The 12,882-nt window shown below is 40.2% G+C and overlaps 1 protein-coding gene across 27 annotated transcripts in view; it reads right to left on the reverse strand.

Annotated features, from left to right (window-relative positions):
• FREM1 (FRAS1 related extracellular matrix 1) overlaps positions 1-12,882 on the reverse strand; it is a 173,844-nt gene that overhangs the window by 10,095 nt on the left and 150,867 nt on the right. For 20 of the 27 annotated variants that reach the window (NR_163239.2, NM_144966.7, XM_047422844.1 and 17 more), the window contains 6 exons: positions 12,526-12,655; positions 9,128-9,200; positions 2,881-3,030; positions 1,155-1,393; positions 435-482; positions 18-182 (listed from right to left, as the gene is read on the reverse strand). Coding sequence is in view for 24 of the 27 variants with exons in the window: in NM_144966.7 (NP_659403.4) it covers positions 18-182; positions 435-482; positions 1,155-1,393; positions 2,881-3,030; positions 9,128-9,200; positions 12,526-12,655 (805 nt within the window). In the remaining 3 variants the exon portion in view is untranslated. Of the gene's footprint in view, positions 1-17; positions 183-434; positions 483-1,154; positions 1,394-2,880; positions 3,031-3,165; positions 6,399-7,652; positions 8,623-9,127; positions 9,201-12,525; positions 12,656-12,882 lie in introns of those variants that run through there. The other 7 variants (NR_163242.2, XM_017014324.3, XM_047422859.1 and 4 more) reach the window with 4 other exon arrangements.

Below are 12,882 nucleotides of genomic sequence, written 5' to 3' on the forward strand. Positions count from 1 at the left end.
AACAAAGATTTTCATACCTGTCTGGGGAAGTGTGAGTCAGTTGTGGATTCCACCTTATCTGCTTGAGGCAGTTCTGCCACTTTGATTGTCTTTTGTGGCTGACTAATGATGGATACTTTGGCCTTCCTTTTGTGAGTTGGGAAACTGTCATCCTCCAGTTTCAAGGAAACTATCCCATGATACTTGAGGAAACCAACAATCAACAACAATAAGGAAAAAACAAACATCAAGATAGCAAACAAAAAAATGAGCAATTCAAAAATTCAGTCAAAGCAAAAAGATAAGAGGATTTGTTTCTCTGAACACCCAAGCCTCTAATTTCAAAACAATTTTTTAAGAGAAATGTATAAATATAAAAAATATAAAATAATAGCTTCATTAAATACTTGCATCCATAAATATAAGAAATTTAGCAATTCTGTGACTACACTTACATTATAGATGATGTCTGTTCCATTTCTATAAACAGAGGATGGACGAACCTGAAATTGACAGAGAACAAAATATGAACAGAATTGGATTGACTAATAACTAGCAATAGGGTAAAACCACCAAGTAAGATCTTGCTAATGTCTGAACAATTACAAAACATATGTAATCTTAAGATTTCCCACGCCCAAATCATTGGAATTTCAAAAATCACTAGGCCTAATCAGAATTTATGATTGTTGTGTGGATTCACACATACAGAGTTCCAGTCAGGGAAAAAGTACATCTTTATTTTTTGGTATATCTATAGTACACAGGTCCAAGAACACACACACACACGCGTGTGCACATATGAGAGTATGCAATGGTTAGAATGCTGTGTTAATAAGGTCAAAGCCATGGCTTCCACACCCAATCGCATCATTTCATCTCACTCTATTTCAGGGTCATGGATCATTCCCTATTTGTCTTGGTCACAAAAGGAATCAAAGAAGAAATCATATGGATGAATCAGCATATCTATCACCTCAGTACAATTAAAGAAGCAAGGCAGCCTCAAGATCTTTGTATACAGAAGGCACTGCATAACTGTGCAAGGAACCATGGCCCCCACTCACTATGAGAATCAAAACAGCTTCTTCAGTGTTTCAGAATACTTATTAATATCTTCTGATCCTTTTAATATGTATTTTGCACATCATTTCCCAGAAGGTCCCCATCCTTACTGTTTTGCCATTCCCACGGGTCCTAAGCTTCCTTTGAGAAAGATCTGTAGAATCAAAGCCCCGCAGGGTGTCTCCCCTGATGACTGCTAGCTGCATGGAAGATGGAAGAGGTCTTCTTTCCAGATGAAAGGAACCAGAAGTGGTGGATGAGGAAGACCCTGGGGGCAGCAGATGCCAAATGCCCTTCTCCCATGTGCTGTGCTTGCTTTGGTTGGAGGAATATGAAGGATGGCATTGTCCTGGAGGCATGCAAGATGGCAGGCGGTCAGTTCATTTTACACAAACAGATAAGGTATCACATTGACACAGCTCCTGGAGCAGCTTGTCATTAAACCTAGATGGATGGTTTTCCCACCAGATGTTGCCTTTTTGCCATTTGCCAGAAACTCCTTTACTCTTCATCAGTTTACATCCAGGAAAGCTGTGCTCGTCTGCACATCTATTGAGTGATTATAAAGTCATGAAATCAATTTCATAAACCCCAAATGAAAATCACTGTTATGATTTTATTATCATATCATATACTGGGGGGAAAGTCTCACTTCTCTTATTATAGTATTCCCCAACATAAAAGTTTATTCACTGATCAAGCATTATTCCACAAGCACTTTAAAGTAATCATTTCCTAGAGGTAGAAACTGGAATTGTTTAAAGATGTCATAGAATTAAGTAGTATTTATAAAACTTTTCTCTTAGTTGCTGTAGAACAAAGACCCAGTAAATCTTAATAGAGCGGCTCCTATTGGAAACCTCACCAATTAGTATTTCTGGGAAGGCATAAAAAATTTGAGGGCAAAACCCTTGTCTGGGTATTTTATATTTCACATATAAGGTGTGTATATCATGTATTTTATGTACTTCATGTGACCAGAAAATTCTACTGGAAAAGAAATAAATTTGGTGAGGAAAGGTAGTGGGGAGAGATGTTGCAGAAACAAGGATATTATAAAGAAAAGAGGGGAGGTCCCATTTTTTTATAGAGTAGGAAAGAGAAGAGAAGGGAATAGATTCCAGGCAAGAAAAAAATATGGACCACAGGGCATGACAGGTATAAAAATGGGAGTGTAAGATTGAGTATGGTACGAACACTCGTCAAATGCTAAAAAGACAAGTAACTAAAAGGCATTTGGTGGAAAAAAATCAGAGCACCAAAGAGTCTGGCTGGTCTTTATTTTATTTAGTTCACAGGTTGTTCTTTAGCATAGACAATCCAGGACCTGTTTGGCGCTGCCATCCAAAGTCATTCATTAATATTCTCCAGCTGCTCCCAAATTCCCAAGCCAGCTGCATCTTTCACATCTATTTTTCTCCAATTCCTTCCTCTCTTAGAATTTTCCTGGTCACACTACAGTGGGGGCTCAGATTTTAGGCATTAAGAGTGCTCTTTAACAGAGAAAGATAATTATAGCTCTACAGACTCTGGGGAAAATAATTGTCGACAGATTCTCACCAACACTGTTTCCCCCTCGGTGAGAACAACAAACGGGTAGGAAAAAAACAACTACGGCACTGACTTGTTGCTTTTCTCAAGTGATCGTACTTAGCAGGAGGAAAACCACATGAAGCAGAAACCAGAATAAAGGGCCTACATCACGACTGAGGGTGCTTTCTTGACAAGAAATTAAGCATTTTGATTTGAAGGTGTTATCAAGCACGTTGGCTGTTGAAGGCAAGAGCTACAGCGCCAGGACCGCTCCTGATTTCAAGATGAGGATCAAAAGAATACCTCCTTTTGAGTCCAAAATTTTCACTGCAGCTTTTGTCTTTGTGCCAAGAACTGCATTCACAGGGGAGTTCAGAATTACTTCAAAGACCTCATCATCTTCCTCTAATCCGTCATAGGTAATTGCTATATTCCACATCTTAGTTGACATTCCTACAAGAAGTAAACATTTTAATTACTCTTTAATTGCTATTTCAATCACCTAGGTGTCAGAGAAATATATTAATTAACATGTCTACAGCTAGACTGCAGTAGCCCGAGTGAGCTATTGTACTGCTACCAACTCACTGAAGTCCTGCTGTTCTCCCAAATAATATGAAAAGACCACATTTGTTCCTGGACGATGATGTTTCCGTTTAAATGCAAACACTGTAACAAAAAAGTAAGCTGCAGTATGCAAGGGATAAAAAAAAAATGGTTATTAGATGAGATCCAAGACTTAATTATTTTCCCAACCTGTCCCTTCTCTTCTGAAGAGTAAACAAGTATTGCAATCTCAAAATCTTAATAGTTTAAAAAATCTTAAGCTGTTGATGCAGACAGAAGTGATTATTGGATGGTACTTCATGCTATTCATGGAACCCTTGAAATGATTGATTTCTTAATCATTTCTAAAGACAGCTGCCTGCATCGGCTTCCCCACTTCCTGAGATCTTTCTAGCCCACAAATGCTTTTTCTGATGATATAATACTCAGTAGTTTGATATCCTCCTAGAGAGAATTTATGGGCTGGGGGTTCTAGAAATAAAGCCAATTTTTTCCCTCTTTCTGGCTGCCTCTATTCATGAAGTTACAATCAAGCTTGGTTCACAGTAACTTTGTGAACTTAATATTATACAAAACAGTTTTGACCTTACAAACATATCCCAGCCATCCTGTCAACACCAAGACTGGAAACAAAGCAACCCCAGATACACAAAATATTAAGACTGCAAGAAGAAACTTCTGAGATGATCTCATCCTGACCAGTTTCTATGATGTGGATCATAGGATATCCCCTGAGTTTACTTAGAAGAACAAGTGGTGGAAGGAAGTAAAGGGAATACTTTTAAGTGGAGAAAGAAGGCTCAACTTTAAGAGGAATAAACACAGTAAACTTATCGATTTAACTTTTCTTAGCTGAGATGGAAAAGCTTACTCTGCCATTTGCTCATTGGCTATTTGAGTGCTTTTACTCCTTTAAGCCCCTCTATATGATACAGTTAAACTTTTTAAAAAGTCTTCTCTTAAAAATGTAACTCTTGGCCGGGTGCAGTGGTAAACAACTGTAATCCCAGCACTTTGGCAGGCCAAGGCGGGCAGATCACTTGAGCTCAGGAGTTTGAGACCAACCTGGCCAACAGAGCAAAACCCCATCTCTACAATAAAACAAAAACAAAAACAAAAATTAGGTGGGCGTGGTGGCACGTGCCTGTGATCTCAACCACTCAGGAGGCTGAGGTGGGAGGATCGCTTGAGCCCAGAAGGTCAAGGCTGCAGTGAGCCCAGGATGTGTCACTGCACTCCAGCCTGGGCAACAGAGTGAGACCTTGTCCCCATCTCCAAAAAACGACTCTTTTATCTTGCAGATTGCCTTCTACAGACTTATACCTCTCAACTGTCCATCTATATGGTGGCCTCTTTCTTGAAGGTATGCCTCACATAGATCTCATGATCTAATCAGTCTCTTCAATCCTCAACAGAAGTCAATGGAAAGGTGAAGCTATCCACTTCTTCTACTTTTGGCTGGCTGCACTTAGAGGGGAAAAAATTAGGTGTACTTGGAATAAATAGATTTTATTCAAAAACAGGCTGACAGCTAATTTATTAAGCTTCCAGTACTGAGTTTTTAAACCAATTACGTTCACAGTCTTTGCAAAAGCAGAAGTTGAAGCATCTAGTATGTATAATAATACCATACAATTCCCATCTCATGGATGGATAAATCAATACATCAAAATATATATTTTGTACTTATGATATGCTTATCTTTGCATTAGATGCTATGGAGAATACCAGAGGTGTAACATAAGCCAAGCCCTGATCTAAGGGAGCTTAAAATCTTTTGGGGGAGACAGAAGCAAAACCAGAAAAGTCAAATAATTATTGAAAGCTATGTATGTTTACCTACTAAAAGATACAGAATAGATTGTAGAGCCTATATAAATGTGGGCTTTAGAAGTGAAAGGATTAGGAGGGAGGAAACAGGAAAACAACATAAGTAAAGACAGGAAGATAGCAAAGCAGAGGTCTTGACTCGGGAAGGGTGAGTGAATTAGCTGGCTGGAATAGAGAGGTTACATGGGTGGACAGGAGGCCATAAGGCTGCAAAGATTATTTGTAGCCAGACTGCAGAGAGCCCTGGGCACCTGGCCAGATTCAGACTTTACAACATAGGCAAGAGGGAAGGGTCTTGAACAAAGAAGTCACACACTGAAAGTGGATTAGCAAAATGAACCTGAGAGTGTTATGTGAGAAAGTCTGGAGATCCAGGCAGATAGACAGATAGGCTAGAAGTTTGAAGACCACATAGACAGCTGCTGTAATACAATTGGCATGAAAAGATAAGAGGTGGTCAATGAAGAAAGCATATGAATAATATGATTATTAGTACTTGGAGAACTGTTTTGACCCTCAAAGACCATAAAGTTAAGCATCATGTAAATAAAATCCAATACAGAAAATATTTCCAACTCCCAACCGACTCTCTGATTTTAAGGTTAATTTTTTAAAATTATAGTACCCCCCAAACAAACAAACAAACAAACAAAAAACAAAAAACTTAAGGTTTTTGTTGGACCTTACGGAGTAGAACCAGATGGTTAGGGGTTGGAGAAAATATCTTTTGAGTTTCATTTAAGTGCTTCTGATTTGTTTGTGTGCATTCCAACTTGGTTTCTATGCCTTCCAGGTGTGCACAGAGGACTAACTCTTTAGGTTAATGAGATTGGAAGTCAAAACTTTATCATTTTTTCCCTTCCTCTTTCACTTTCAAGGTGCAAAGTATTTGCTAAGTCCCTGAGATATACAAGCATTTTCAGAAGGCTTGGACTGGCTCCCTGTTCCCACAAAACAAAAGGTGCTGAAGAGAAAACAGAGGTGTCATTTTATGCAGACATATTCCACTTTACAGAGTAGGTGAGTTCCTGGATGTTTTCCTGCAAAGCAGATTTCTCTATTGAAAGACATTTTCTCAATATTTTTTAGTAAATGCCACATTAGAGATCTGTTCCCTTGGAAAACATTTTGACTCTAAGGAATGATGATCAATTAAGAATGCTGCAAGCCTTTCAATAATGCATATTTTAAAGGAAAACAATCATTTTCTTAGGAGTATTTTTATATCCACTCAAGACTAGTCACAATAGCTGAATGCAAAGTAGTTAGGGTTTGCTTTTGTTTGTTTGGTATTTTTTTGGTTTGGTAGCATAGTTGCAACTTCAAGGCAAGCTTCCTTCCAGCTCCCACGTAAGAGTTCTCAAACCTTACGGCATCCCACTGTCTTCGGTTTTTCACTCTGTTTCTTCACCCAATCATGGAAGCTGCCGTTTTAAAAGAAACAAATTGATTTCCCTTGGTAAAAGGGGTGGATATGGGGATGGGGACACCAGACCCAGAAGAGGCAAGGATTAACAAGATAGGAGTAAATATTTACTGGACCTGTGGACATGGAGAACTTCAAAATTCTCTAAAGCAAGATTTCAGTTTGCAAAACTGCTTCTGGGTTAATAAATTCTAAAACAATGAACAGCCAATTGTTTTTTTCTTAATTTATAAGATATGCTTATATTATTTCTTAAATTGTCTAAATAATATCTAAAATCATAAGATTATTTACAGCCCCCAGAAGTCATTAGTATCTACTCAAAACAGCATGTGAGCTCTTCTAGACAAATGGGTATTTATCTTATCCAGTGGAATCTCCAAGAGACAGATTTCAGAGTCTCTTGTAGTGTGACACGTTCTAGTTCCTATCAGTCCAAACAGAGCACCTGATGGGCTCCTGAAACCTACTAGCAGCCAAAATTACTCCTGATCTTGTAGCAAACAGACCTCAAATTATGAAGATGACATATGGCAAAGACTCAAGAAATGGAAAAGTTGGAAGTGCCTTAACATGAAGTAGGAAGGGACATGGCGCACATCATCTCACCCTTTCATTGTAGGGATTGTTGGGTTGGCCGCAAGAGCCTGTACCAGTGTGGGAGTAAACAGCACATAAATAACAGGAATCTTTCCCATATATAACAGGATCTCTTCCCACAAAAGGAGGTCAGCTGGAAGAACCAGCTTATCTGAGTTAGAATGTTAACTATCACAGGAAGGAGGCCAAAAACAAAATACAGATTTTTGCATGTCGAAGTGAAGGTTCACTGTTATAGGCTGAATGGCGTTTCTAAAAAATTCACGTCCTCACTCCCAGTACCTCTGAATGTGACCTTATTTGGAACTAGGGTAATTACAGGTGTAATTAGTTAATGTGAGGTCATACTGGAATAAGGTGGGCTCCTCATCCATTATGACTGGTATTGTATAAAAAGGGGGACTTGGCTGGGCACAGTGACTCATGCCTGTAATCCCAGCACTTTGGGAGGCTGAGGTAGGCAGATCACAAAGTCAGGAGTTTGAGACCAGTCTGGCCAATAAGGTGAAACCCCGTCTCTACTAAAAATACAAAAAAATTAGCCAGGTGTGGTGGTGTGCGCCTGTAGTCCCAGCTACTTGGGAGGCCAAGGCAGGATAATTGCTTGAACCCAGGAGGCAGAGGTTGCAGTGAGCTGAGATTGCACCACTGCACTCCAGCCTGGGTGACGCAGCGTGACTCCATCTCAAAAAAGAAAAAAGGGGCAGGGACTTTATAACACAGACATGCACACAAGGAGAACGCTACGTGAAGATGAAAGCAGAGATGCAGGTGAGGCAGCAGACACTAAGAATGCCAACGTTTGCCACCCAGCCACCGGAAGCATGGAAGAGAGGCATGGAATCGATTCAGAAGTAATCCTTCATGCTGACAGCTTGATCTTGGGCCTCTAGCCTCCAGAACTGAGACACTCGATGTCTCTGTTTCAAGCTACCCACTGTTTGATGCTGTGTTATGACAGCCTGAAGAAACTAACACAGTCCTCAAGCATCATGCTACTTGCAGTGAACTGCAGAGAGCCATTTCTTTTCTGTGTTTGACATTAAGATAGGCAATTTTGAGGTGGTGCTGGTACTTAGGCCATTTTCTTTTGCCTTTGCTCAACTCTTTATGAGTTAGTGGCAGATGATGTCAATAGTTCACACTTAGAGGAGTGTTCTCAGTATGCAGAACATCTCCTTGGCAGGAAAGCACAAAGCCACAGTCCTGTCTGCTTCTCCAGGCCCATTGTATTTGCCACTCCCAAGCCCCCACATTTGATTCAGATCCATCTCAAACCCCAGGGAAATAGAGAGTGGCATGCAGTGAGTGAGGCAGAGCTACCTGTCCCATCCACAGAAGCCAGGGAAAGATGGCCGGGCTCCAGCCTCAGCTTTAGGCACAGCTCCCCAAAGGTGTGTTGGTGCTTTTGTGTTAGTCCTTCATCCTGGAGTTTTCTTCTTCATCTAAATGCTAAAATACTGCCTCCCGTGGGAAGTCTTCCAAGATTTCTCTTAGCCTGAACAACAGCTCATCTTTTGGGTCCCAGTGCACTATCAGTGAGTGTTAATTCTTGTCTGTGTTTCTCACACAATGGAACACACTTGAGAGCAAGTACCAGCCTTTTTTATTTCCACTTGCACCTAGCAAAATTTTTCCACAAATTTAAAACAAAGTAAGTGCTACTTAACTAAATAATAATTTCCCCTGGAATCTCCTAATATCAACCTATTCCATGAGGGATCATTTAGAAATGCCCTTTAGGAATCCATATAAACATAACATTCTGAAAATTTTCATAAAATATCTGAGGCAATTAAACTATAACAGCTTTGTGTTAGAACTTCAAATAATTTCTAAGTGACTGTATTTTTTTCTGGATTGTCTTGGATGTTTGCTTTGATATCTCATATTTATTATAATCTTTCTTCTCATTTGAAATCAAAATTCATTTGTTACTAAAAAAAAATAAGGGCAAAACCTCAAATCCAAACACCTCTCTTTTAGAGTGAGGTGGTATGGCTCCCTGAGGAGTTTCTAGTTGGCTAAAGTTGTGTAACATTCTATCTTCTCTACAATCTCCAGACATGCCTACAAAAAAAAACAAAAAACAAAACACATAAAACAAACTGCAGACACAAAATGTACCTGGGTCAAACTGAATCAGTTTAGATGGAATCACGGTGAAATCTTTTCCAACTGCAGCTGACACTTGGTTGACCTTAGGAGGGAAAAAAAAATCTTTTTAAGATAAAAATAAATATTCTACAATAGAGAAACAGCTATTCTCCCTCATACTGGACTAAACTCATGCTCTTAAATCTGTTTTTAATATTAGGTAGGGTTTTTAAAAAAATTATATAAGCCATTTGGGATCCAGGCAACATGCATTTTCCTTAAAGTTGACTTTTTCCTAGGCTAATATCAATGGAAAGGAAAGCTTTTGTTTTGTTTGGTTTTTCCTTTATAAATGATTTAGTTATTGAAGAAAGGAACATGAATTTTAAACTATATTTTTGTCTTTGTTGCAAGCACAATTTTATTACCTTCCTTCTATCCCAATTTGGTTTTAAAATAGTCCCTCAAAAGAAAAGGAGGGAGAAAATTGATGAGGAGAAGAAAAAGCAGGTACCCCTGACAACCCATGTGATGATCTGTCAGCTAGCTTGGAGGTATCCTGCAAGCTCCAGGGCACTGAAAGCCTTTAGACTAGATTAACTCAAACACATCTGGTTCATTTTCCTGTCTGGATGAAGCCATTACTCTTCACAAACATGAAAGGAGAGTTTTGTGGAACCGGAAGACCTGGTGAACAACCAGACAAAGGAGATCCACACCCAAAACCAAGGACTTTCAAGGACCCCGTCAGGTAGGTGTTTTAAAACAACAACAACAAAAATGCCCTAGTCTAAGGAGACTATTGATACACCCCTGCTTCTCAGCTCCAGCCCCAAGACTAAAAACCAAAGAGGCGATTTTAGCGCTCTGAAGTCATGGCCTTGAATTCCACCCAAAGGGTGCCCAAACACATGTTAAGAAGTGTCCTTGAGCCGGCACGGTGGCTCACGCCTGTAATCCCAGCACTCTGGGAGGCAGAGGTGGGTGGATCACTTGAGGTCAGGAGTTCAAGACCAACCTGGCCAACATGGTGAAACCCCGTCTCTACCAAAAACAAAAAAATTGGCCAGGCATGGTGGCGGCCGCCTGTAATCCCACCTCCTGGGGAGGCTGAGGCAGGAGAAGAGCTTGAACTTGGGAGGTGGAGGTTGCAGTGAGCCGAGATGGTGCCATTGCACTCCAGCCCGGGTGATAGAGTGAGATTCCATCTCAAAAAACAAAAAAAAAGTGTCTTTGGCTGATTTGAAAAATAAGTCATCAAATGAGAACCGTGTGCAAGCATTTCTGTTACTTGTGTGTATTTTTTAGATGTTTAAGATGGTCAGGAATGTGGGATAATATATTTCTGTACCTTCTGACAAAAGAATGAAGTGCATAATGAAAAGCTGAAAAATTCCTACTTCTATGGCCTCAGACAATATGTCCATTTCAAATCAAAGGCCCCCTCATATATTAATTGGTTAGCAGTGGAAACATTTTGCTGGAAAAGGGGATTACCTTCCTAAGCTTCCATTTGCTCTTTGTCTACAATGCCAAGGCTCCTCTGGAACCACCTTTCATTGTGAAAAGGCAGCCCATTATACACCTGTATCCACCATATGCTGGAAGTTGCATTTCCCTGCATGGTTCTTGCATGTCCAATTACCTAGTATTTACTACCACTGAGTTTACAGAATCCTATGTGGGAAAAGGAATGGTCTGAGGCAAGGTGGTTGGAGAAATCAGTCAGGTGAAGGTGCACAATTCAAACCAGGGCAATCCACACAGGGTAAAAGCACCACCTCTTTCCCTGCTCCCAGTCAAGCAGCCAAGCTCTAGTGTAAGGCTGCAGGTTGTGCTCAGGGTAGAGTTGTCCTGAAAGACTCTGGGACTGTGCTTGATGAAGGCCTGCACACTCAGCTGGCACGTTTGTTGTGCACTTTCAGCATAAATAAGCATAAGGTTCCATGTAACACCATGCCTCTTCTTTCTACCTGGCAAGGTGAATGGTGGCGTGGCCCAAAACTCCAGCCTAGAGCATATGGTGCTTTCTATGGAGGACGGGAGGATTATTAGAAAACCATCCAGGCAGATTCTTCCTTATTCCATAAGCAATCTTCTGGAAAACTATAGGGCATGCCAAGTTTTCTCCTGTCTTAATAACAAAAAAGTAACCAACAGATCTAGGAAAAAGGACCTGTGTCCACTGGAAAGATAAATACTGAGCCTGGATATGGTCAAATTTATGTTCCCAGGCTTCTGAGAGTGATTTGAGTTCATTATTAAATTGAGACTTAATAGAAATGGCCTTTTCCCCAGAAGCTAATACCAGTGTCTTTTTCATCAGATGGTGGGGGGATGGGGTGGGGGGGAGTCTTTACAGCTCATTCTCCATCATTAGTGTGTACAAGTGTTTCATGCTCTCATTCTCTTGAAGCGCTCTTGTTATAACGACTCCTAAAAAAAATTCTTCAATTCTAGAAGCCATAGGTTGTGCTTCATGGGTCACATCAATGAAAAGAAATAGCAAGTTGACTGATCTAGAAGTGGTTAACTGAAAATTCTTCATATTTCAGGGTGCCTGTATTAGTATATGCTCTCCTAATTTTGTATGGCTTGGACAACTCTTAAGATAGATGGGTTTAAGCTGCCTATTTGCCTCATCAACTGAGCCCATGGGAAGTGACTGAGGTGAATACTAAGAGAAAGCCTCTTGGGACTGAAATTTGCTCTGGGTACCCCACAGAATGTCTTGCATACAACATCTCTTTCTAAAGCAGAGTTCAGCCCAAGTTCACAAAGTTGAATATAGCTCCCTATGAAATAAAACCTCAAAGTCTAAAGAGTTCATAGAAACAAATAACAGCTTTCAAAATTAAAAATGGATTTTAAAAATTAATATCTCAGCCAGGCAAGGTGGCTCACGCTTGTAATCCCAGCACTTTCGAAGGCCAAGGTGGATGGATTGCCTGAGGTGAGGAGTTCGAGACCAGCCTGGCCAACATGGTGAAACCCCGTCTCCACTAAAAATACAAAAATTAGCAGGGCCTGGTGGCAGGTGCCTGTAATCCCAGCTACTCGGGAGCCTGAGGCAGGAGAATCACTTGAATCTGGGAGGTGGAGGTTGCTGTGAGCCGAGATTGTGCCATTGCACTCCAGCCTGGGCGACAAGAGCGAGACTTTGTCTCAAAATAACAATAATAATAATAATATCTCTTGTGCTAGCTTCAGCAACACGTACACTAAAAAATCATATCTCAGAGTTTATGAACTTAGATGATGGATGGAGGGCCAAGGAGGTTTTGTGCTTAGAATCCTCAGAATAGTGGGATCTCCCTGCAATTTGAAATTTCCTTGGTCACTCTGAATTTTTCTAAAAAAAATATAATGAAAGACACCAAAGAACAACATAAGTTTTAGCTTGATAATTTACATTTCAGAGTCATTACCTTTATACCCACAAAGGCCGAGTCCATGGAATATCCCCTTCTGATAATTTCCAAGGGCAACAAACCCACATTCTCACAGACTTCATATTCGGTCTGTGACCATTCAATATGAGACCACTTCAGTTCCAAACTGTGTGTGAAAGGAAAAGAGAAATCATGAGAATGCATAGTATATGCCTATAGGGATTCTCTGCTGAGCGGACTAGTGGAAAAACGTGGTTGATCAACCTACACCAGTGATGGAAATTCCTTAAGACTTATTTGACACATTTTAGTTCACAAAGAATGTCTACTAACATTATCTCATTTGATCCTTACAACAACCCTGTAAGGTAGACAGAGCAAGGATTAGAATTC

This window comes from Homo sapiens, chromosome 9 (assembly GCF_000001405.40).
Source record: "Homo sapiens chromosome 9, GRCh38.p14 Primary Assembly".
In the NCBI taxonomy this organism is placed as follows: domain Eukaryota; kingdom Metazoa; phylum Chordata; class Mammalia; order Primates; family Hominidae; genus Homo; species Homo sapiens.